We start from the raw sequence: 27,994 nt of genomic DNA on the forward strand, positions 1-27,994 counted from the left end.
TGTTCTTGATAAATGTAAAGCAACTAGTACTACTTACATTATATAAGAATTGGTCAGGGCCGGGCGCGGTGGCTCACGCCTGTAATCCCAGCACTTTGGGAGGCCGAGGCGGGCGGATCACAAGGTCAGGAGATCGAGACCATCCCGGCTAAAACAGTGAAACCCCGTCTCTACTAAAAATACAAAAAATTAGCCGGGCGTAGTGGCGGGCGCCTGTAGTCCCAGCTACTTGGGAGGCTGAGGCAGGAGAATGGCGTGAACCCGGGAGGCGGAGCTTGCAGTGAGCCGAGATCCCGCCACTGCACTCCAGCCTGGGCGACAGAGCGAGACTCCATCTCAAAAAAAAAAAAAAAAAAAAAAAAAAAGAATTGGACACCCTGTCTCTAAAAAAAAAAAAAAAATTAAAAATTAACTGGGCACAGTGGCTCATCCTTATAGTCCCAGCTACTCAGGAGGCTGAGGAGGGAGGATCGCTTGAGCCTGGGAGGTAGAGGCTGCAGTGAAACGTGATCATGCCACTGCATTCCAGCCTGAGCTGCAGAGCAAGACCCCATCTCTACAGGAAAAAAAAATGTTAATAAATAGTAGCTTTCTTATTAATGTAAGGAGTTTTCAACCAAAAGGCTTCAGTATTTGAAATCAACACAATTGCCAGACATTGAAAAATTATATCCCATAATAGTTAGCATCTAGTATGAGACAGGTAGAAGGAATCTCTGACTAGTGAACTAAAAGGAAATAACTATTCCTGATAACTTAAAAACTGCTCTGTTCCCCAGTGTAATGGTTATCAAACTTGTATTCCTTCCATGTCAGGACTTGTATTCCTTCCATGTCAGGACTGAGTATTTTTTTAACAATCTGAGAAGCATCAGACTCCTATATTACTGGGCCGATTGTTTAAGGTATTTAATTACAACTCATATCATTATCAGATGCACATACATAAAATCTTCACCATATTCTACCTAAAAATGTCTAGCCTTTTGCATTTTATGGTAGAAGGTAAATCTGAAGAGGCATAGCATAAACAGATTCATGCTAACAGGAATTATTCTTGCATTTACCCCAATGACTAATATTTGTGTAATGGGGTATAGTTCAATTATACATATCCTTTTTTTGTAAACTATACCCCATACACACACATATAATAATGGCCTAAAACCTCTAGCACCTTGAAAATCACCCAAGTGGCCACATTTTTGTTTAATACCAGGGGTTAGTCTCAACTCTTCCTTATTACATACTCTTTCTTTCAAATAAAATAATAGCTAACACTCTTTATAGTATTTTCTTCTTTCCTACTCACCTGTCCTAGATTCCATTCATTTAGGACTTCGTCTAGGACTTTTTCCTCTGCCTGAAAACTAAGTACTCAATCCATATCAATATTATGACTCTCCTTTGTTATCATATATTTGTCTTTGCCAGGGGTATGGTGGAAAAGAGCCCCTTAATCCTGAGACATGCATGTGTGGAATGTATGCTTAACCAGAATTAGGAATACTTCCCTTATTCATAATGCTTGAGACCAGAAATCAGATTTCCATTTTTGTAATCCCAGCACTTTGGGAGGCCGAGGCAGGTGGATCACGAGGTCAGGAGATCAAGACCCTCCTGGCTAACATGGTGAAACCTCATTTCTACTAAAAACACAAAAAATTAGCCGGGCGTGGTGGTGGGCGCCTGTAGTCCCAGCTACTCGGGAGGCTGAGGCTGGAGAATGGTGTGAACCTGGGAGGCGGAGCTTGCAGTGAGCCGAGATCATGCCACTGCACTTCAGCCTGGGTGACAGAGCAAGACTCTGTCTCAAAAAAAAAAAAAAAAAAAATTTAGACCATTTGCCTATTGTATTAGTCTGTTTTCATGCTACTGATAAAGACATACCCAACACTGAGCAATTTACAAAAGAAAGAGCTTTACTGGACTTAAAAGTTCCGCATGGCTGGAGAGGTCTCATAATCATGGAAGAAGGTAAAAGGCACGTCTCACATGGTGGCTGACAAGGGAAGAGAACTTGTGCACAAAAACTCCTCTTTTTAAAACCATCAGATCTAGAGACTCATTCACTATTGTGAGAACAGTGCAGGAAAGACCCACCACCATAATTCAATCATCTCCCACCGGGTACCTCCCACAATACATGGGAATTGTGGGAGTTATAATTCAAGATGAGATTTGGGTGGGGACAGAGCCAAACCATATCATTCTGCCCCTGGCCCCTCCCAAATCTTACGTCCTTACATTTCAAAACCAGTCATGCCTCCCAACAGTCTCTCAAAGTCTTAATTCACTTCAGCATTAACTCAAAAGTCCACAGTCCCCGCAGTGTCTCATCTGAGACAAGGCAAGTCCCCTCCACCTACAAGTCTGTAAAATCAAAAGCAAGTTAGTTACTTCCTAGATACAACAGAGGAAAGGGCGTTGGGTAAATACATCCATTCCAAATTGTAGAAATTGGCCAAAACAAAGGGGCTACAGGCCCCAGGAAAGTCTGAAATCCAGCACAGCAGTCAAATCTTAAAGCTCCAAAATGATCTCCTTTGACTCCATGTCTTATATCTAGGTTCCCCTCATGCAAGAGGTGGGTTCCCATGGCCTTGGGCAGCTCCGCCCCTGTGGCTCTGCAGGGTATAGTCCCCCTCCTTGCTGCTTTCATGGGCTGGCATTGAGTGTCTGCAGCTTTTCCAGGCACACAGTGCAAGCTGTCGGTGGATCTACCATTTGGGGGTCTAGAGGATGGTGGCCCTCTTCTTACAGGTCCACTAGGTGGTGCCCCGGTAGGGACTCTGTGTGGGAGCTTCAACCCCACTTTTCCCTTCCACACTGCCCTAGCAGAGGTTCTCCATGAGGGCCTCACCCCTGCAGCAAACTTCTGCCTAGGCATCCAGGCATTTCCATATATCCTCTGAAATCTAGGCAGAGGTTCCCAAATCTCAATTCTTGACTTCTGTGCTCCCACAGGCTCAATACCATGTGGAAGCTGCCAAGGCTTGGGGCTTCCACCCTGTGAAGCAACAGCCTACACTTAACTTGCCCCTTATAGTCATGGCTGGAGTGGCTGGGATGCAGGGCACAAAGACTCTAGACTGCACACAGCAGAGGGACCCTGGGCCCAGAAACTATTTTTTCCTCTGAGGGCTCTGGGCCTGTGATGGGAAGGCCACAAAGGTCTCTGACATGCCCTGGAGACATTTTCCCCATTGACTTGGGGATTAACATTCAGCTTCTTGTTACTTATGCAAATTTCTGCATTCAGCTTGAATTTCTTCTCAGAAAATGGGATTTTCTTTTCTATTACACTGTCGGGCTGCAAATTTTCCAACCTGTTATGTTCTGTTTCTCTTTTAATACTGAATGCCTTTAAACAGCACCCAATTCACCTCTTGAATGCTTTGTCCTTAGAAATTCCTTCTGCCAGATACCCTACACCATTTCTCTCAAGTTCATAGTTCCACAAATCTCTAGGGAAGGGGCAAAATGCCACCAGTCTCTTTGCTAAAATGTAACAAGAGTTACCTTTGTTCCAGTTCCCAACAAGCTCTTCTTCTCCATCTGAGACCACCTCAGCCTGAACTTTATTGTCCATATCACTGTCAGCCTTTTGAACAAAGCCATTCAACAAGTCTCTAGGAAGTTCCAAACTTTCCCACATTTTCCTATCTTCTTCTGAGCCCTCCAAACTGTTCCAACCTCTGCCCGTTACCCAGTTCCAAAGCTGCTTCCAAATTTTTTAGCATCCTTTCAGCAGCACCCCCGTCTCAGTACCAATTTACTGTATTAGTTCATTTTCACACTGCTGATAAAGACATACCCGACACTGGGCAATTTACACAAGAAAGAGGCTTATTGGACTTACAGTTCCACATGGCTGGGGAGGCCTCACAATCATGACAGAAGATGAAAGGCATATTTCACATGGCGGCAGACAAGAGAAGAGAGCTAGTGCAGGAAAACTCCCCGTGTTAAAACCATCAGATCTCGTGAGAGTCATTTACTATCACAAGAACAGCACTAGAAAGACTCGCCCCCATAATTCAATCACCTTCCACCAAGTTCCTCCCACAACATGTGGGAATGGTGGGAGTTACTATTCAAGATGAGATTTGGGTGGGGACACAGCCAACTCATATCACCTGTACATAATAAGCTATCTTAAGAATGGGACCCAAGTCTAAACATGAAGTTCATTTATGTTTTATATGCATCTCATACACATAGCCTGAAGGCAATTTATAGGATATTTTAAATAATTTTGTGCTTGAAACAAAGTTGTGAGGTGTTTTAACTGCAACCCATCACATGAGGCCAGGTGTGGAATTTCCCACTTGGGGCATCACGTCAGTGCTCAAAACATTTTGGATTTTGAAGCATTTCAGATTTCATATTTTCAGATTAGAGATGCTCAACCTGTACAAGTTTCTGAACTAGATTGTGTCACCAATATGGCTATAGCCTTGACAAGTTATAACTTCTGGGCTTAAGTTTTATATTCTGAAAAATAAATGAGCAGGCTTCATGGTATCATCATAACTTCATACATGTGTTCTCTTTGTGAGATAACCCTTAGCCTCTCCCCATTTTCACATATTTACTGTTGACTTCTTTTTTTTTTTGAGATGGAGTCTCGGTCTATCACCAGGCTAGAGTGCAGTGGTACGATCTTGGCTCACTGCAACCTCCACCTCCCAGGTTCAAGCGATTCCCCTACCTCAGCCTCCCCAGTAGCTGGGAATACAGGTGCATGCCACTATGCCCGGTTAATATTTTATATTTTAGTAGAGACAGAGTTTCACCATGTTGGCCAGGATGGTCTCGATCTCCTGACCTTGTGACTTGCCTGCCTCAGCCTCCTAAAGTGCTGGGATTACAGGCATGCACCACCATGTCCAGTCCAACTTCTATTTTTCAAAGCCTCACCTCAGGTAGTACTTCCTACAAAAAGCCTCCTTACTTTCAACCCAGAAAATATTATATGCCACTTTCTAGGCCTCACATAATGACTATATGGCTTCACCATTGTACTTAAAACATTGTTCTTCCTTGTTTTATATTTGCATGTTTATGTATATAAATGTAATGGAATTTCCACCACCCCACTACAGTGTAAACTCCAGGAGACACAAGTCCATATCTAATTCATCTTTGAGATGCTTAAAAACAATTAGGCACTAAATAAATAAATGTAGAATATACAAATAAATGGGAGAATGAGTGAAGTAGATGTTTTTGCCAAAATTCCTTCTAACTCAAAATTCATATTTTATTATTCAAAATAATGTAAATGGGGGACATAGATACTGGAAGAATTTGCTGCATTGTAAATCACTATAACTAGGAAGCTACGCCCACCCCTTCAGGCTCTAATTCCTGAGTTCTCACCATGCCTGTTCTTTTCTTGCTCCAAATTGCTATAAAATCAACTGGAGTTTTGTTGAAACATATGGCTCCTCTCTTTCTCATCCACTCTCTGCAGCATTTGAGCAAAAACTCTGCTCACCTTCCTCAATCAGAGGACATTTCTGCTCATCAGTCAAGCAGGCAGACCACAGGACTCTCAGACAAAGGCTGAGAGGTAGACTGATGAGGAGGGTGGGTCTAGTGGTCATGGGGGAATTCCATTAGGACTCCAAATGTTTTATTGTTGCTATCTCAGATAGGTATGACAGAAAGGAGTGTGGGAGGTGCATAGTGACCGCCCCGCCATCAAGAATGAATTCATCTTCTATCCATAAAATGTTTTACCTAGGCAAACTTGTTGATCTTTCATTGCCTATACTTCATTTTCTTATCTCTCATGCTCATTTCTCTATCTATTTATTCATTTTAGCTTCACTTTTCTTCATAGCAGGAATCTAGTTTTCTCCCCAATCTACTGTAGATCACTCTAGCACCCATGATGCCTCTCTATTCTGAACTCAATATATTTACTCTTTCATTTGGTACTTAATCTTGTCTTGTATTGTTACATAACTTTGCAAGTATTTAAGCCTAATCTCTTCAAAATACTGTACTTTTTAGAGAGAAGCCACTGTATCTTGTAGCTATTTGAATCACCCTAACAAGACACTTAATAACTATTAAACAGTTGATGGTAGATCATTATTTCAGCCACTAGCATAAGAAAAACCATCTTATTTTCACAATGATCCAAATTTATAAAGTCATATATCCTGTATCAATAGCATATGTTAAAATCTTTTGAAAACTCACATTTATAAGCTAATCTTATTCACATAGCCTTTCTCTGAGTTGCACAGTATAGAGAAAATTATCACTTTTAAAATGAAGAACTTGCACCCTAAAAATTAAGATTCTAGCCCTCGTAAGAAGGCCCAGGCTAGATTCAGGTCTCCAGACTACTAGTATTCCATTGCTCTTTCCAGAACAATACATCAAATTTAGGTTCTCAATATATAGTTCCTTGCACATACTTCTACCACATAAAAATGGACTGTTAACCTGGAATGTAAAATAATTCTATAACTTCATAACCTTTTCTGTGCCAGATTACTAAAATTCAGAAATTACCCTCCAAAGAAAAAAAGTGAATGCTAAATCTGCAACCCTTCTCTTAGATTGTTAGTTGGGTTATAAGAAGACTATGACATTGCTTAATGTACTTTGCTATTTGCTCAGAAGCACAGGAAAAAAAAATCATATAAGCTCCAGAGTACATAGTCTCATATTTGGCTCTGGAATATAAAGACCAGATTAGAAAATACAAATTCAATTTCATCTCTACCTCTGAAAGATTAAAACAGAAAACAAATCCAAACTCAAAAGATTTTTTTAATGCAACAGAGACTTCTTAACTGCCTGATCCACATAGATTGAATTTATTTAGCGAACACATGAATTCATCTATCAGAAATGTAGTCATTCATTTACTCAGATAGAAATCATTATTCATGCAAAATAAATGGATTCTACTTTAATTGTCTACCGGCAGTGACTATAAAGTAAGCTATGTGAGCCTTACAATTGAATCTTTACCACAGGCAGAAACAACAACATAAACCTCTAAAATACAGTTCACTGAGGTCATCGTTTAAGAGCTCATATCCTGTCCAATACTTCAGAATAAATTACATTATGCTTATGATGCAATTAATCACATCATAACTTCTGCACATCCAAAAGAAAAATCATTTCTCTTTATCTATAATCCTTACTCAATGAAAACTGCTCAATTATTCTCTGTATTGAAGGTAAATTACAGAAGAAAGTTAATTGCTTACCTACATGATATTTCATTTCTGAAGCCAAAATATTAACATATGCAACAACAATAAAAGTGAAGAACAGTAAATTGCATAAATAAAAGCGTGTTTCCATTTACGGGCTATAAAACAAACAAAATCTGACTTTAAAAGCTGTTAATATGTATAAATTAAAGTATAGAAAGGTCACAAAATTTTTTAAAACCTGATTCTTAGAAGGAAAAATGAAACAAAGAATCTTCATCATATTCATGATAGTTGGATGTCATTGATCACAACAAGGCATTTTTTAAATGTAGGGAGTTTAAAATTTGAAATTTAGCCAAAGAGCTTATGTAAAGTTGATGTTAAATTAACAGAGTCAGCAATCTCTGCTTTCAGAAGTATTTAGGTAAAGTTTTTGTTTACATTGATTATTAAGATCTATAATTCATATTTATACATATTTATATATAGACTTTTTCATTTCCTGGCAAGTGAATGGGCCAAAGTTGAGCTTGGGAAGATTAAGCTTATATATTTTTTGTGCCTTTATATTTAGTGAATGAAGTACCTCAAACGTTTTACAGTAACTCCTGTATATTATCTTGCTTTCTGTTATTAAATACTAACATTTTAAAGAATTTAAATGTAACTAAATCTCATTGTGCAAACTCTTATGCTCATGTTATATGTGTGCATGTAGCCTCAGTTTCCTAAAGAAGATGTTCATCATGGAGAAACACTCAATTTTTCCATCCAAAAGTCTAGATTTTGATTTGGTTTTCTAACATATAAAACTTTGTACTGGGAAAAATCAATCAATTATAGTTTCTCATTTATGGAATGAGAACAATAATAGCTTCCCTACTTAACTCAGAAATTGTGAGAGTCAAATAAATTGTATAACAAATGATATAAGTGTAAGAGATTATCTTTTACAAAATGTAAAATCCATTTATTATTTCAAAATGCACTTATTAATAATTTACAATGAACAGACTAACCAACATAGCCCCTGTCTACAAAAAAGATAAATGGCAGGGTCTGGAGAAATCTCTCCATAACTGGACACAGACTAGGCTATCAGCATCCATCTCCTATCACACCCTTGAGCTATGCTTACTGTAACATTTCTGTGTGTTTCTCTCTTTTCTAGGGATCTTTTCAGTCTTTACAGTTTATAAGATTCTGAAGGTGATGACAATAACCTGTCTGCCCCACAATAGCCATGGGACACAAACTAGGAGCACATTCTTGTTTGCCTGGTGACTGCGAGTGGCTGAGAGACACTTGTGAAATGTGTCCAGATGGGTGGAAGTGTACTCTGTTCTCAGCCTGTCCTCATGCATATTTGATATGCAAATCAAATAATGAGTGTTGCCTCGGCCATTGGCCACCTGATTGGCTGTGGGACAGACAAATGAATCTGATTTAACATCCATAGAGAATCACAAAGTCCTGCTATTAATAAAATGTGGTGTTTCCAGGTGACTGCATTGAACATGTCCTGAGGATCCCCTGCTGTTCTCATAAAAATGAGTGCTAAAATGTATTTTAAAATTCCGTAATGTAGTGACACAACAGATGAAAATGAGTCACATTCGCTGGAAAACACATCTTGACATTCTAGAAATAGATACACTCTTTGGCATCTAAAAGGTTTCCAATCATTTCATAGAACAAATCATTGATTCCAGGACTGTGATTTAAAAGGTTAGAGGTATATATGGGCAGAAGTAAGTTATCAAGGGTATGGGTACATTAGAGGTATACTCTGACAAGTAGCCACTGAAATTGAATCCCAGTGACATGTGATTAGGCTAAGTGTTGGCAGCAGAAGGAGAGGCAGAGGCACAATAGGGAGAGGAGGAAAACATAAAAGCTGAAGGGGGACAAGATTTGGATATAATAGAACAAAAGAAAGAAGTGCAAACAGAAAAAAAAGAAGGAAGGAGAGGTAGCTAGAAGAGAAAAAACATGAAGAAAAATAGTAAAAGGAGCTACCAATGAGTACCTGCTTTTCCTTGGCATTATTCAGAAAAATAATTGTCCATGATTCTGATTGGTTTCTGCCTGAATCTACCTTCTCACAAAGGGTCATCTATCTTTTCCTCAAAATAAAAAACTCTCTGTCTATAAAGGTACGTTCCAAAGTTGCTTTCTTTTATCAGACTTAACTTATGTTCCTTGCGCTTTAGTAGTTACAGTGCAATTAATCACTTCTCTCTACATCAAAAAGCAGTTTCTAGCACCACAAGCACATGCATGGACTTGACTGTGCTTCTCTGGGGGGCCATCTCCATGGCTTTGGAATGCTGCTGGCTCAGGTGACAGACCCCCTTTATTCCACTGGATGAGGGCATAAGAAGAGGAATATAGTTGGATTGCAGTGGAATTATAGTGTGGACACCTGTAATGATCTTCAATTTATTTCTGCCCTGCCAGCCTTTGATGACTTCCAACGGGACTGTGAATACTTCTTTCTGATCACATAAATATCTGGAGGAGAGTGAGGGGAGTGGGGACTTTGGGCTTCCTGGAAATCACTGTGTACTTCCACATGTCATGTAATTTGTCCAATGAGAAGTGTGTAATTACTAAAGAGAAATGTGAACCACGGCAAAAATTATACTTAATGTTCTTTGACAAGATTGTGTGTGTGTGTATATATATATATATATATATATATATATATTAGACAGAGATTTTGCTCTTGTTGCTCAGGCTGGAGTGCAGTGGTGCAATCTCAGCTCACTGCAACCTCCACCTCCTGGGTTCAAGTGATTCTCCTGCCTCAGCCTCCCAAGTAGCTGGGACTACAGGTGTCCACCACCACGCCTGGCTAATTTTTGTATTTTTAATAGACACAGGGTTTCACCATGTTGGGCAGGATGGTCTCGATCTCCTGACCTCATGATCTGCCCGCCTCGGCCTCCCAAAGCGCTGGGATTACAGGTATGAGCCACCACGCCCAGCCGACAAGGCTATATTTTTAAGAAGTTGACTCAAGTTAGTTTTTCTCCTTTCCTGCAGGTGGCTAAAAGGAGAAAGAAAAAGAAGAATACAGCTTAGTCTTCCCTGTTTTTGCTTTCAAAAGAATATGCTAGTTAAAAGGAGTATGATTCTCAGATCTGAGATTTAAAGTTGAGGTAGAGCTTGGTGGGTGAGTAACACGAAGAGGGAGAGATGAATGCATTTCGTGTGATGAATAGGAAATGTCAGTAGGAATGTGAAAGAAAAGGAAAGATAAATGGGTGGTTTGGCTAGCTCCTTGAAAGAGGGTCTGTGCATGAGGGCCATGAGGACAAGAATGAGAAACAACTCAATTAAAGTGCAATGCAGGAGGTATTCTTTCAGCCAATGGAAGCTGACTTACCATGCACAGTAGTCCTGGTTTTCATGAAGGTGAATGCCTTCCTTGGCCTGCACTCAGGAGCTGCAACAGCTGTCCTTCCCATTGGCATTCAGGGCAGAGCTTTTTTCTTAACCCCAGGTAGCCACTCAAGACAAGTGGTGACTGTAATGACCAAAATTTGTGGCAATTAGTACCCAAGGCTCTAAGAGTTCCATCTGACTTCTTGTAGACTGACTCCCTCCAACACTCATATACACATCTACACAAACACAATATTCCATTCGAGCAATGAGCACAAGAAAGCAAATGTATGGCCAAGGGCCTTTAATTGGTTGTTGGGGAGGAGAGTCCTTACACCTGAAATTGGGAATAGGCAGTTGTTAAATGAAAAACCTTAGACAAATTAAACTGAACAGAGTTTAATTGAGCAAAGAACAATTTGCAAATCAGTCAGATCCCGAACCTGAATAGGTTCAGAGACTCCAGTGCTACTGCATGGTGGAAGATTTATGGATGGTAAAAAGAAAGTGACATACAGGAAACAGAAGTGAGGTACAGAAATGACTGGATTGGTGACAGTTTGGTGTTTGCCTTATTTGAACAGGATTTGAACAGTTGACTGCTGTTGATTGATCAAAACTTGATGACTGGCACAAAAGTTGGTTAAGGTCTATCTACACATCCACTTAGATTACATTTCATGATGCATGGAGAAACGTTTATGCTAAACTTACAATATGTAAGGAGGTAGCTTTAGGCTAAATTTAACACAGTGACTCAAACCAGTTCCCAGCTCCCCATTTCCAATCTGGAACAGTGACTACACACTTGCCTAGGATACTACGACTTTTGGACTAAGTTTTTCTCATCTAACTCATGTATTTAACACTTGAGTAACTCAATTAAATTCAGGTGAATGGAAGATAGAAGGGACATGGAGACCCTAGAAGTTCATGTAATATTCTTTAAATATGTGTGATGATTTTTGCATTTTCATTTATATGCTTACACACTTGGGACACACATATATTCACACACTCACACTCACACCACACTGGCCTACATAGCCATTCCCTGCAGGCATTCTTTGCATTCCATGCAGGTCCTGGTTACATTGAGTCTAGGCCCCCATTCAAGACTGTAGGGTCAAACTAATGGCTAGAAGAAAGAAGATGTGGTTTTTGCACACAATTGATTAATTAATTCAATTAGTGTTTCATGAGTATGGAAAGTATGAGGCCCTGTCCTGGCTTTGGGGACAGACACACTGATGTATCAGATGTGACCTTTGTTTTTTAGAAATTTAAAATCTAGTAAAAGCGTGAAGTAAGCACAGCACTGGACCTGACATAATGGCTGATTTGCATGCATGAATGAGCAAATGAGGCATGGAAACATACACAAAAATGTAACAGGATGAATTATTGAAACACACATAAAACCTGTGAAAAGGAAAGTTGTTTTAAAAATAGCTTTCCCTAGCCATACAGGGGGAAAAAGAGGGCACTATTTATGCTATCCTTAATCCTCATGATCGTGGGAGAAATAAACAGCTTTCTAAAGTTCATGTCTGTTCAGAGAAGAATTGGTCTGAGTTATCTCAAAGGTGGATGGGGTGGAACCAAAAGCTTTGAGTAAAAGGAGTCAGAAGGTGTTGGGGGGTGGGGGCTATATGCATTAAAGGTCCCTAAGCGTGAAAAACAAAAAAACAAAAACAAAAAATACAGAACCATATTTGAATAGTTTCTATAACTGGAGGATCCCCTAGGTGGGTGATTTCTTCAACATGCCTGTAGAGACTGTCAGTGAGCACAAAGGCCTTAAGATTAGCGACTGAAGGCTCCTGGAATGAGTATGTGGTTAGAGACTGGAACTACTCAGGAGTTTCCCTAGGTCTGCTCCAAATAGCACAAGCAATGGATGATGAAGGATCCATGTTAATAGCAGTGGATCCACAGGTAATAAAGAGAACTGGTGGTGCGAATGCCTCCACCATGATCTAAAAACCTGGCTACTTCCTGATTTTCTGTAGTGTAAAACAACCTAATTTTTAATTATGCCAATGATAAGGTAAGTTTTCTGAGTTAAGGAATACCTTTCCCACACAAGTACACTGTAGAAGAGATTCCTCCTTTTATCTCTGGGTAGACTGCATGAAGATCGCTTCTATCCCACTGAAGTGAGGTAGAATATGCCAAACTGAACTGAGGTTGAATTTCTCACCAAGAAATTGAGGGCCCAGAGGAGACTTACATGATGTAATGAAATTTTAAAATGTGATAGATATTCATGTTGAGTTTGAAACTAAATTCTGCAACTAAAAGATAAGGTGTTTGTGATAAGGGCTATAACTATAATTCAAAATATAAGAATAATTTAGATTTGATAATAAAAATAAAGAGTAAAGGATTCTTTATATTCTCCATAGACTAAATATCTGATAAAAATTAAACTATGTCAATGATATAGGGTTATTCCTATAAAAACTAACAATTATTCTTCACTATTCTAACTGAAGCCAATTCAAGTCTCTTCTCAGTGATGAAGAAAACCAATGAAAAGAAGATAGAATCTCACAATAATAAGACTCTAAGCTACAATTTAACACCAATTTACCAATTCCATTAGAGAGCACATCCAGTTCATTGAAAATAGCAAGCTAACCTGTCTATAAATTGCCTTACTATAATCAAATGTTGGCAAAATAAGTAGATAGGAAATACAGTGCCTGTCTGAAATATTAGCAATTAATCATAAAATAGCCAGTTGTTTGAAAATGTCATGCATATTACTATATAATAATATTCCTTAAATTGAACTGGGAAAAGTTTATTTTTTTATTTTTTTTTAACGTGTAAACTCTTCAATCAGTTTTTTAAAAAAAAATACATTAAAGAGTTAGCTACCTCTACACATGTGGATTCAATCCATATCAAAACTGAATTTATCAGTTAAGCAGAGTCCTTCAAACCAATTTGGATATGTAGCTGGACAACCTTTTAGGTATCAAACAGAGCCCTAGATGGTTATTTCCTTCTGTAAACCCAAGCCAGGGAGAGACCTTTATGCAGGCAGCCCAGAGACCAATGTAGGAATCTCTTTCACAGCATCTCTGATTTGGCAAAGAGTTCCTTAACTCAGGAAATGGCCCATTTCATTGCTAAGCACACATTGCATGATGTTAACAAGCTCTTTGTTAATTAATTTAAAACCTAGATTTGTAATTTGTATAATTTCCACACCTGTGTCCTAGTTTTGCCTTTCAGCCAAACAAAACTCTGCCTCCTGTATCCCAAAGCATTATAAACTTGTGAAGACTGCCCTGTACCTTTTATTAATCCTCTTGCCTCCATTTCCTTTAGCCACTTTCCAGCGTGACATGGTTTGTAGATACCTTCACCCTTCACTGACAGTGAACAATGGCAGAGGTATGATTATGGGTAAAAGAATTTTATATTTTGTATATCATTAAAGGAAAAATCAAGCTTATGGAATCCTTTTGGCTATGTCCAAATGTTGCTGCTGAGTTGACTATTTTGGGAAAAGTCTCCTTTTTTGAAGTGGAAGGTATGTCCATTTACTGGAAAGATTAAAAATGTACTATTAGGGACAAACTTTTATACATGCTGAAAGTAATTAGCAAACTGGTTTCTTGTAATTCACAATTATCTATGTGAACAAATACCTTCACTCTAAATATCTAATGAATTAACTGATTTACCTAGAACAACTTTAAATTCATTCCACAGGTATTGACTGTAAACCAGGCATTATGTTAGATGATGTGACAATGAGCAAGAACAGCCTCAGACCTTGACCTTAGACTTGACTGAAGGATCCATTGAGTAGCGATGCACAGTATTAACTGTAATAGGTGTTAAGAAGAAAATTCTTAAGAAGCTACGAGAGGCATATTTAGTCCAATCTGGGGGCTCAAGAAAGGCTTCTCCAAGGAAGTGGCATTGGAGCTGCAGCATAGTGGAAATTAACCAAGCAAAAGCGTGGAAGAGAACATTGTGACAGGGAAGCAACCATGGGTTGAGGATCTAAAGCAAAAGGAAGCAAGGTGTGACTTGAGTTAATTTGAGCCCATTTTGTCTTGGAGTTGTGGCAGGGGAGAGGGGAGTAATTGTACAAGATGAATCAGAAAAGTTTGGAGGAAACCAAGCCATGCAGGGCCTTGTCTTCCTTATTCTAAGAATAATAAGGAGTTTCCAATGAATTTTTTTTTTAATCAGAGAAGTCTTGGTATTGAAAGATCACTATGAATTTTTTATTATTAATCAGAGAAGTCTTGGTATTGAAAACGTCACTCTGGAAGTACTATGGAGAATGAATCAGAGCAGTGTTCCAGGAGGATATCTGAATAATCCAAGTGAGATGTGAGAATGAGGGTGCAACAGTGGGGTCTGCAGAGATGAAGAGGGGTGGACAGATTTGAGAGACATTTAGGGGGTTAAATGGAAGGAACTTGATGGATGGGATGCAGGGGCTGAAGGAGAGCAACTTGTCAAGGGTGATCACTTGAGTTCTACCTTGTGCAGTTGATTGGACAGTAATGCCCTTGATTGTGACTTGAACACAGAGCAAGGAGTGACTGTAGGAAGAAAGCGAAGGAGTTTGATTCAGAACATGCTGAGTTTAAATGTCATCAAAACATCCTAGTAGACAGGCCTGGGTTTAAGAGTGTTGGGCATGTAGATAATAATCAAAATTAAAACTCCCCCTTTACTATCCCTTGTAGAGGGCACTACTAAGTTTGGTAAAATGTGTAAATTTGTGGTATACAAACACCCACTGCCCTCCACACACATATATCATTACCAGTGAGGCTAAAGAATAGTTAAACTCTGAGGACATTTGGAATATTTATGCATCTCTTCATTTCAAGCAGACCTACTCCCCATAGTAGACGTTACTGAATGTGGAGGTTTCTTCAGCTGACCAGAAAGCGCTTAAGGACATTAACCTATGCAGTTAGCTTAAGGGAAATGATTCTTGGCAAGTTATTCCTTGCAGACTGGAATGTGAATTCACTACTTGCCTTTCCCCCTTCTTTTGAAAAAGCACTTCCCAGGACGTCCCTTCTAAGAAATGGCTCTAGCTATTTAATTTGCTCTCTCAGATTGGGAACTAAGAGGCAAAAGGACAATTGAACTGAAATGGGTCTTTTAGGTTGTGTGTATTTCACAAATGAAGAAACTGAGGCTCAGAAAAAGACATGTTTACACAATGCTAGAAGCAATTTCCTCCAACTGTTTTAGTTGTTGTTTTTTGTGCTTTTTTTTTTTTTTTTAACATTTCTAAAGTAAGAATAGAATGCAAGGATAGCATTGGTAGCATGTTATCCACATTCCAGATTCCAAAAGAATACTCTAGTGTACTGAAGTAGAAGACATTGTGTTCTTGGTCTCTCTGCCTTCTGACAGTGCTGCCTGGCAGTTAGTAATAAAATTCTACTCAAGATAGTGTGTTAAGTACTCACTGAAAGTGTCAGGCTCTTCAGAGTGGTTTCCTAGATTAGGGAGTGAGGTAAGCTGCTCATCCTTTTAAAGAACATCTATTTATTTCCAAATTGTAAATAAACTTAAATAGTGTCTTGGTTAAACCTCAAACTCAATGTATTATTCTTAGAACATAACTCTCAGGAAGGTCTTTATTCTCACTGTGAACCCAGGTTTAGCAAGGGCTTTGTCATCGTTATCATCTTATCCAATGGTAAAGAATAAAATATTATTAATAAAAACAGCCTAGCAGCTTGGTTCTGCTTATTCTTTAGGGTTTTAAATCAAAATCAATGTGGCTTTTAAAAGTAAACCCTGAGTAGAGTTTAAAATGCTGAATGTGCATGAATTATGCATGTGTCCCACATGCATGAGGCCCACAGCCTCAGGTGTATTGTTAGTAAATCCAATGCCATAAATATAAATCCATTCCAATAGCTTATTTGAGGTGACTGGGCTGCTGCCCCATGCAACACAATATTAACACAGTGGCTAGAAAAACCACTGTTCACACTGAGAGATGTTGGTATGTGTAGGGGTTGAAGGTGGTCCAGTGATACTGCTATTAATAAAAGCTAAAGTAATGATGATTGAGAGCTCTTCTAAGTTGTTTAATAATTTAGCCACATGCTTTTATGGCAACAATATGTAAGTTCTACTTTAGGCCTCACAAATGGAGAAGACTGGATTCTTTCCCTCTAATAAATCACAATCCACCTGGTAATTTACATGCCTAATTACCACGATGCAAATCAAACAGGGAGCAGTGGGAGAGGTCATAAGCTCTATTCAAATAGGTCTGTTTTATTTTCTTTCAAAGTCCCAGAGAAAATGTTTGTGATGGGGTTGCTATGATGTATGGTGTCTTCTAAATTTATTTGTTTGAGAACTTAAATAACCATTGTACAACAATCAATTGACCGAAACTTATTTATAATTGAACTTAAGGACTAAAAGTTCATCTAGTCCAAACCAGTCTTTTCAAAGTTGTGAAAACCAAGGCTGAAGGAGTTTGTCGTAGGATAATTTTTCATGTTATTAATCCTAAATATGTATGTACACATATATATTCATGCATATTTATATACAATGTAGGATATGTAATATATACAAATACTATATATCATACATATTAGAATCATATATAATATATAGTGCAGATTTATATATCATTTTACATATATGTGTATATATATGCATATATGCATTATATATGTAAATGATAGCAAATTATTTCAGAACCATCAATCAATACTATAATATTACAACCAACTACTTTTGGATTTAAGGCAATCACTTGTCAAAAGAGCTACTTAATTAATTTTCATATCTGTTCTTCCTTGAACGCCATGAGTAAAACGAGTTCTCTTAAGAAGGCTGGGTAAGAATAGCGATGAATAATAGCACTTCCATAGTCCTCAAAAGGTAGCATCACCTAGACTAAGTAATATTTATTATGGAACCATTGCTTCCTTTGGAACACCTATCAAAGTAATTAGCCTACGGGACTGAGCTTTCTGTAATGCAGAGAATGGGCTGATGGAGGGCCTTCATCTTTTATCTCATTCAAAACAGACTCCAAAGAAACAGTGACAAAGAGAAATTTAATTTGTAACTGAGGAGGCAAGATATTAGATAGCCTTGGCAGAATGAGCTTTGAGACTTGCTGGAACTTAAATATGATTCTTTTATAGCAAGGGTTTATTAAACTCAACCATCTCTGTGGACTATCTCTTTGCCAAGATCAATCCCCATTCTGATATTTCCCCAAGGGCTACGCAAACGATAACAGAAAAAGCTTTGGCTCTGTCACTGTAAAACTGTAGGCGTGTTTCATATTTTGTTCGTATAGTAAGCTGTCCCAGGGGAGACATGAGGCTGTGGGAAAAGACAAAGAATCAAATCGATTTCTTAGACTAGGAACAGGGAGGCCACTTTCAGAGGCATCACAAGGTGAGAACAAAGCACTGACTTGTCCTCATGAAGAACCATGAGGTTGATGGATCCAAAGGAGCTTGTACATACAGAGCAGGAAGTGTAAGGAGAATAAGTCTTTCTTAGAGAGTAAACAATGATTACACATTAGGTTCTATTTAACACAATTCTTTCTTCCCAAAGCCTCAAAACATTCTCTATCTTTCCACTCATTTAATCGTCACTGAATTTTTCTGAGGTAAAAACAGACATTTCTTTATGAGGCAGCTATTTGAGTTTCTGATTATCATCCTCTCTCCACATCCACCCAGAAACATCTGAACCAAATTTCACTATATGTACTGACCAATTGGCTTCAGCTAATCAAGGGACTATGCCTGTCATATTAATGCACGTGGTAGAATTTTCTGGTAAATAATACATGGCATGTGTCAAAAGTAATTTTGTGCCAAATCTACCTCACTTCTTCCCCTTTAACCCAGTGCTCAGAGTTGTGTAAATTATGCTTTATTCACACAGGTTAAAAGGACCACTTTAACTTTTCGAGCTAAGATGTTTCTTGTGCTTTTTGTTAACATTCATTTCACTCAAGATACTCCTCTTTTGAATTCAACTCAAGAAAACAAGTTGTTTACTATGACACTTTCTGTAAGTAAGGTTTCAGATTGCTTTCATCACAGAATCTAAGAAATTTGTCTAGGCATCTTCTTGTTGGTATTCTTTTAGATTTAAGCTCAAAGAAGCTTAAAATCAAGCAAAAGAAGAGTTATGGAACTCTAATTCTCTGTGGGACAAAATATCATTGCTGAGAATATGTACATATTCATTACATAGATTTACATATATATAGACATATACACACACAAACACACACACATATATATATCTATTTGGATATGATTGCTCACAAATTTTAATGTAGCAGTCAATAAAATTAATGTCCTCAGTTTATCTTCTAAATATATCTACTGTACTGGGATTTCGTTTCTAATATATTTCAGGTAGAGCTTCATCTAACCAGCTGTGGGTTAGGTCTCATTCCCTTACTTATAGGTAACACACCTATAAGAAATAAGGTTGTTAACATCACTTTCTTGAAGATGGTCTATTTTGTCTGTTTCTCTGAGCACCAAAATCTGGTCACACTCATTGGCTATGTCCATCCTTTCCAGAAAATAATTATCAGAACAATGGTGAGCATTCCCTGACCACTTCCAAGTTACCACTGTTCTTAGGGCTTTCATGTAAGCCCATTTAATTTTGATGACAAATCTATGAGAGGCTATTATTAGCCCCATTTTATGTTTAAAGAAACCATGGCAAAAACAAGGTAACTGGCCCTGAGGCAGGCACATCCAGGCCCTTGTCCTTGGCCTTTGAGCTCTATGTCTTTATCTGTTGTTTCTCTGTTACAACATCAGGCTTTGGTGGCAAGGAATTTAGTTCTTTAGAAGTAGCGCAAAAGGATTTATTGAGAATGTGTATATAAACCCACCCCAAAATAAAAGTGTATCAATTCATTCCACAGGTATTCTAAGCGTTAACGTATACATGAAATGCAAATATTACATAGTCGGAAGGACCTTGTCTTTAGAGTTACCAATTCCTCTTCCTAAACATAATTCCCAACCCTAGGTGCAGTCCATGTTTACTCTATCCATGGCCTTCCCTGCTCACCTGGCCCTTCCATCCCATCACGGGAAGCCCACAATGGTAATAGTCTCTGTACCTAGAACCTGCCCTGTAACTACCCTAACATGTAGCCATTCTATCTATTGCTTCATGATCTTCTCTGGCGGCTTTTCTCATTCCATCTTTATATCTGCACATTGTATATCTGCTTATGATTCTCCCTCTCACGTTGCCAGCCTTTCAGTCTCTTCCTCTGGCCTATGAACCTTGTCATCCATCATCACCTCACAACTGTGCCTATTCTATAAATCAGAGAAGTCCTTGTAGCTTTGAGGAAGAGACTTCATTAGACTTACTCTTTTAGAACTGCTGAACTCACATCCTGTGCCAGCTTTCCTGCCACAGAGGGTGTCCTCGCACTAGGCTGAAGTAGGTAGCCTATGCTCTGATGGTAACTTGCAAGTGTTTCTGTAATTTCTCCATGGAAATAATGTTTGTCTTCCACCAGGCTGCAAAATCTTTGAGTAGAGGAGCCATCTCTCATTTGGGTCACCTGTGCTTAGTACAGTACCTGGCATGTTTTTGGTGTATGGTGAAATGCTCTCTGAACTGAAATCTGTTTTTCTGCAAGGTGAGCGAGGGAGAAGATAGTTTAGCGGAGAGGAAGACCCAAGAATGAGACTCAGGAATAAACCAAACAACACATTAAAACACAAGACTGGAAATTCAGGAAAAATACAGATGGAGGAAGTTCATTACCAGAGATAAAGGAATATTTAAAAACTGTAATGACACAGCATAAGTAGAGGATAAACTAATGTTTAGTAGTACCACTTAAACTAAGGGGAATTAAAAGCCATAAAACCATGATCAAAGATGTTTTGATGCTGATGACAATGTGTAATTAATTATCCATCATTCCCTAAGCACCTAGTATGGTCATAGCAGTATGCTATTCACAGAAAATATTGCATATATGCTTTAAAAAAGTACCCCATAGAAGATTAAAACCCTCCTTGGGAAGATGAAATCAATGCATGAGAAACCATTAGAAAGGCATGAAAAACAGTATTCAATTCACTATTAAATTATGTAATATGAATTAACTGTTTAATTTATTTATCCACTCAAAAATATCAAGCGAATGCTATGTGTATTTTCCTGAATCAGGTACTCATATACAAAAAAAAAAAAAAGATTTGGGAAATTCAGGATGAGGGTATAAAGCATTCTCATTTTGATAGTGTTAATTGCTGTAAGCTTATTAAAGGGGAACCATAACATGACTGCCAAGAAAAAGTCAGATATTAGGTTCAGATGCATTTCGTTGGGTACGTGCTAGCATCTGAAGAGTTGAGAAATTGTAAAATATTGAGTTTTTTTTTCTTTGCATCAAGGTGTTCCTAAACAATTTTATTGATTCTGTGCATTCATAATAGCTCGCAAACTGATAACTCAGCCTTAAAGCAATATCATAAATCAGTCAATTGTCTTGGAAACCCTGAAACCAAACTGCGGCATACAGGATGTTTTCTATAAGGATAATTTGAGATCTGGGCATCAATCTCAATTCAAGAGATTTACTCAGTTCATTTCTGAACTTATTTTCCCTGATGTTTCATTCGGGAAAACTACGTATAAATTGTTGTGCTGTGATGAATCTAAATGTATGATCTAATCCAGCTCCAGGGCTGTGTTAAGTCACTGCTCAGCAGGACACTGCACCTGCGTGGAATGCCAATATGATGAAACACTGGTTATACGAAATAAATTTTAAAGGCTCTACATTTCTAAATCAGGAGGAGCCACTTTTACTGCCCTGAATGTTCTTCCAGATCACAATCTATGGGATTCTAGAAGTGAAATGACGAACAACTCCACTTTGGAATTCTATATATTGAATTATGATTTACAGAATGGTCCATCTCTTTTAAGAGAAGAAAGTAAATTTAGTTTTGTATTTTATTGCCACAAACTTTTTCTCCCACAGTAATGTAATTGTTGTTTGGTGGAAATCAAGGAGCAAAGGAATAAATTAAACAGGGTCTAGCCATTTATTTTCCCACTGGCTTTATCACCAAAAGTAAGTAAGATTGTTTTGAAGTCTATCCCCATTACCCCAACTCAGCCCACCCATGTCCAGGAATACATTTGCTTTGAATCTTCCTAATTCTCCTCTCTAACCCATTGTCAAAGATGTCAGATAAAAGAATTTAGAATTTTCTTCCTTCCTTCCTTCCTTCCTTCCTTCCTTCCTTCCTTCCTTCTTTCTCTCTCTCTCTCTCTTTCTTTCTTTTTTTTAAGACAGGGTCTCACTATGTTGCCCAGGCTGGTCTCATACTCCTGTCCTCAAGCAAACCTCCTGTCTCAGCCTCCCAAAGCACTGGGATTACAGGCATGAGGTACCACACCCAGCCAAAAGCACTTTCTTGAGTTCTGTGTGCAGAGCATTTGTAAAGCCAACAGTATTTCCAGATTAAGCTCAACTATTCATTAAAATTTGTTCAACAAAAGAATTATAAAAATGTAGTTACAAAGACCTCATAATTCCTGCCATAACAGCTTTTTTAAAATGTCTCAATGATTCAACCTAAGAACTTCACTACAATCCAATGCCAGCTAATAGAATGTGAAACAAAGAGCAAAGTACTGTCAGGTAAATAAAATAAAATTATTCACCAAAAACATTTGAGCCTTATACTCAGCTTTAAGATGGCACTCAAAGCTGATTTCTCTGTTGCACAGGTCTGAGCTCCCTATCAGTCAGAAGAATGGCAGAAAAAAAAAAAGTACATTCCAAATTTACATACTGACAGAGCACAAATGTCCTTTTTAAATTTTTTTTGTTTTTTAATTAAGGTATAATTTGCATACAATAAATGCAGATTTAATGTGTATAGACCATAAGTTTCAGTTTTTACATTTTGACAATTTTACACTCATATAATTACCACCCAAATCAAAATATACAACATTTATATTAGTCTAGAGAAATCCATCATGCCTCTTTTTATGTAATCTTACCCCCAGGCAATCACAAGTGTGTGTGTGTGTGTGTGTGTGTGTGTGTGTGTGTGTTTATATGCATATGGATATATATACACAAACATATACCTATGGATATATATACGCACATATGTGGATATAAGAATATCAGATATAGGCACTGCAATTATTTTCTCCCAGTTTCTGGCTTACCTTTTTATTTTTTTTTAAAGGTGACTTTAATAAAAATGATTAATTTTGGTAATTTTAATGTCTGCATTTTGGGGGCTTCAGCTTTCCTTTTCTGTTTCATGCTTCTTAGGTACTATTTAGGAAATCTTTACCTACCACAAGGTCATGAAGATGGCTTCTTGTGTTTTCTTCTAAGATGTCTTATAGTTTTATTTACTTATTTATTTATTTTAAGATGGAGTCTCACTTTGTCACCCAGGCTGGAGTGCAGTGGCATGATCTCAGCTCACTGCAACCTCCTCCTACCGGGTTCAAGCGATTCTCCTGCCTCAGCCTCCGGAGTAGCTGGGATTACAGGTGCCCACCACCACGCCCAACTAATTTTTTTTTATTTTTAATAAAGACAGGGTTTCACCACGTTGGCCAGTCTGGTCTCAAAGGCCTGACCTCAGGTGATCCACCTGTCTCGGCCTCCCAAAGTGCTGGGATTACAGTCATGAGCCCCTGCACTCGGCCTAGAGTTTTATCTTTGTATTTACCACTATGGTCCACTCCAAGTTAATTTTGTGTAAGGTAAGGGTTGAGGTTCTTTTTTTTTTTTTTTGAGACGGAGTCTCGCTCTGTCGCCCAGGCTGGAGTGCAGTGGCGGGATCTCGGCTCACTGCAAGCTCCGCCTCCCGGGTTCACGCCATTCTCCTGCCTCAGCCTCCCAAGTAGCTGGGACTACAGGCGCCCGCCACTACGCCCGGCTAATTTTTTGTATTTTTAGTAGAGACGGGGTTTCACCGTTTTAGCCGGGATGGTCTCGATCTCCTGACCTCGTGATCGAGGGTCTTTTTTTTACGTAAAACCAAGTTGTTCAAGAATCATTTATTGAAAGGATTCTCCTTTGCCCATTGAATTATCTGGGTGTCTTTGTCAAAACCCAATTGATAACAAATGTGCAGGTATATCTTTGGACCCTATTTACTTCCATTTTATTTGTTGATCCTTACCACAATACCACACATTCTTGATTATCTTTGGCTTAAAATATATCTTGAAATTAGCCAGTATAAGACCTCCAACATTGTTGTTCTTTTTCAAGTTTGTTGTGGCTTTTTTAGATTCTTTATATTTCTAGATAAATTTTAGAATCTGTTTGTACATTTCTACAAATAATGGTGGGTTTCGATCAGATTTACGTGGAATTTCTGTGACGAGGTCTTACACATCACTCATTAGATTTATTTCTTTGACGTTTATGTATTTTGGTCCTAATAAAAAATCTTTTTAATTTCACTTTCAATTCTCAATTGTTTGTTTATAGTCTATGTATATCACATGATCTTGCTAAACACACTTGCTAGTTTTAGTATATTTTTGAAAATCTATCAGGATTTTCTACGTAAATGACCATACCATCTACAAATGAAATCAACTTTAATTCTTTTTTTCTCCAATTTTTATGCCATTTATTTTCTTTCTTGCTTTATTGAACTGGCTTTGACTTTCAGCACAATATTAAGAGTAGCATCTCATAAATAGAATTTTAATTTTTATAACTAAAGCCAGAACAAATGTGACTACTAAAGCTCAAACTTCTTGAGAAATTCATAATGCTACCAGTGGTATACAATAATGTCTGTTTCTAAAATTTCAGATATTATTCTTTTGCATCTTCATGGACAGAATGGCTTGATTGATTTAATACTTTTATATAAAATGATTCACGATATATATGCTGCTTTTAGTCAAACTATTGAATTCATTTTTGCTTAAATGTATTGAATACGAATACACTGAAATAAAATTAAGACTGTTGCTGGACTTCAGATACCATTTCTTCATCAAAGAAAATATTTTCTTCAATGTCATTATAAGGCAGGAAAATTTTATTGAAAAATTATAAAAGACTGGTATCATTTTTAAAAAAACCTATTTGCTTCCATTAAGATTATTGTTACTCATCACCATAAAACATAAAACATGAAGAGCACTCTCATATTTTCAAATCTTCTCCCCCTCCCAAATGTAATTATTTAATTTTTATTTACATTACCAAAATTCAAACTATGTAAATTCTATTCTATAACCCATAATTATCTGGACTTGTCCTATTTTTAATTCAGTGCTCACCACCACTTTTTTAATCATGGCTTTTTATTTCTGAGCTCTTTGTTTCAATCTTTACCAGATTTCAGGTGATTTTCCACAAGACTACAAGGGTGCTACATTCCTGTGTGCCTCCACATATTAATATGTCTGCCTGTTCTTTGAGTGCATATGGGTATATCATTGTTCTCAGAACATTGAGACATGGCTTCACAACTGGTGAGGTATAATTCTATTATTTTCTGCCTTAAATGTTTCTGAGCACAAGGCTCCATGTTAGCCTGAACTTTTTACAGTGCATCAAGGTCTTTTGTACTATGATAAGTGAATGTTTTTTCTTCATTGTTGACACTAAATAACTTTATCAGAGCATAACTCAACATTGAGTAACTTTTCACATTTTCCTGTAACTTAATATGGTTTCTCAATTTGCTAAATCTGTTCTTTCTTCATTTAATGAAAATTTTCTGTTTAAAGTTTTGGAAATTGTTTTTGTTTTCCTGTTCCATTTGTAAGATTGTCTTCTTCAAGGACACTTGTTGGCTCATCTTTCTCTGTCCATTGCCTTTTCTCTATTAGCTTTAAAATAGCTTCTCCTTTTCCTTTTCCCCCCTCTCCTCTACTTTTTCTTCTCTCTGCATTCACTCTGATTACTGCTCATCTTCTTTCTTCATTGTTTGGGTTTTATCTCCATCAATTTTGTTCCTGCTATTTCTCTTTCATGTATTATTTTCAATATCAGTGTTTGTTCTTTCCAACTGTAATCCCCCTTAGTAATCTCATGCTGTTTAAATGTATAAATATTCATATTGAGATGATCTGTAGATTAAAATTCATGTGAGGAATTTCTTCTATATCTTTGACTACTTTCTTCTAGGCTAGGTTTTTGTTCTTTTCATTCTGTGTGCTTTTGTTTCTGTTAGTTTCCCTGAACTATTTTGCGAATTTGATATGCCTTCTCACCATAGATCTTTGAAACCAGATTCCTTTTCCAGAATAGTTAACTTCGAGAGCTCACTGTTTTGTAGGATTGGTATGAGTGTGGAGCTCCATGGTAATGACATGGACTCTGATGACTGTGAACATCCAGCACCAGCACATGCATGAGAAGCCCTGGAATGAGATCTGGTACTTGATTCCCCCACCCCCACCCTTCTGCATTTCCATTCTCTCTGGCTCACACTGTCCTTCAAGCACAACAGGCGTGTTTCCACCTTTGGACCTTTGCGTTTGATATTTCCTCTTCCAGGAACACTCTTTGTTACCCACATATTGTATCTCTTGGATACCTCTTTATTTGTGACTGCTTAAATGTAACTTCCTGTGAGAAGGCTCCCAATGTACTTCCTCTCCCCATGCAACCATAACTTCCTATACCATTACCCTCTTTTATTTTCTTCTTAATACCACATATTTTATGACCAACACTGACATCATGCGATATATTTTTAAATCTGTTATTGTTTTTGTTTTTCTGACAGTAGAATGCCCCCATTAAAGTACGACAATATTTCCCATCACATTTTCTTGTCTTCAGAATTCTAAATATGGCTTATAGGTTCTCAATATATATCTGATAAACTGATAAATGAATGATACACTTTCTGTTGATATTGAGAATAAATGAGAATGGACAATATTTACAAATTGTCATCAACAGAAACTGTTCCTTTTTCTTTTTATATATGCCATTAAACAGATTGCTGTTTTATTAGTTTTACTTTGTCTTATTTTCTTTTCCTAAGTTTTTCCATAAAGAATTGAATGGAATAATGAATAATCTGGTGCGAAACTCAGAAACTAACTCTGGAAATGCATCGAATGTTTAGTAAAAGTAACAGTTTCATTTTTTGAACACCTCCTATGATTCATACTCTGTATTGGTTCTTTATAAGCATTCATTTTAATTTCTTATTAACAATTCCATAGATAATTTCTTATCCTAATTTGACAACTAAGAAAACCAGGCTTACCAAATATGAGACTGCACAGCTCATAAGTTCTGGAAAGGTGGTTAAATTCAGGGCTCCCTTATTCCACCACCTGCAACCCTTCTAAAACACCAAGCTTGACAACAATGAAAAGACACGTCTGTTAGTAGAGGAAGGGGCAAGCCTAGTAATCCATACCAGGATTTCTGCTAGACATTGAGGATGTAGTGATAGACAACAGAGGCTCAGCCCTGCCCTCAAGGAGCTTGTAGTAGAGGAGAGACAGTTAACAAGCAATAAGAAGATTGTTACAAAGAAACATAAATTGGTGGCATGATGACATAAGAAACAAACATTTTTAAAAACTTTTTAACCAGAAAGTAAAGAGGTTTTTTTTTTAAGAAATATCTTAGTTGCAGAGGAATCAGGGTATAACCAAAAATGATGATCCACCTATTAATAAGTTCCATACTGTTTATCAAATTAGATTTGAACATCTTCTTTTCCAACTTCCAAAACTCTATGAAAACATTTACCTTTGGTTTTTCCACATGGCACATTCAAAGCTATCTGAGCACTACCAAAATACAGGCAAAGAGTTCTCTCATTTTTCTTTACTTATGTTTCTTGTAGGAAAATAGCCTGTTGCATGGCAAGAGTGATGCCATTTTGAAGCAAAACCATCATGATGATCAGTGTTTGACCCCCACATTCCAAGGTGTTCCACTGCAAGGTCTTTAAACAATGCCTGTAGCGGTCATGAGTCTTGGCAAGAAAGTCTGAGATATGACCAGTTGCACACATCTTTTTCCTAAAGTTACCATATAAAAAAATACTTTGTGGAGGGTGGATAGGGAGAGATCCACTGTATCTCAGCCACCAGAGACATACTTCAGTTCCTAAGTCCATAGTAAATGCTTCTTTCTGAGAAACTGGATTTGTCAGCCTCTCTCTTCAGCCTCTCAGCTCCCTTGGCCTTTGGGGGTAGATCTGCATTTGCCTATTCACCTTGGAACATTCGTCTTTTCCTAGACATATACCCTCACTTATATGTGAAATCCAAAACAGTGGAACTCATAAAAGTAAAGTAGAATGGTGGCTACTAGGGGTGGAGAATAGGACATGGAGAGAAGTTAGCCAAAGGATACAAATCATTCA

Source organism: Homo sapiens, chromosome 2, assembly GCF_000001405.40.
Source record: "Homo sapiens chromosome 2, GRCh38.p14 Primary Assembly".
In the NCBI taxonomy this organism is placed as follows: Eukaryota; Metazoa; Chordata; class Mammalia; order Primates; family Hominidae; genus Homo; species Homo sapiens.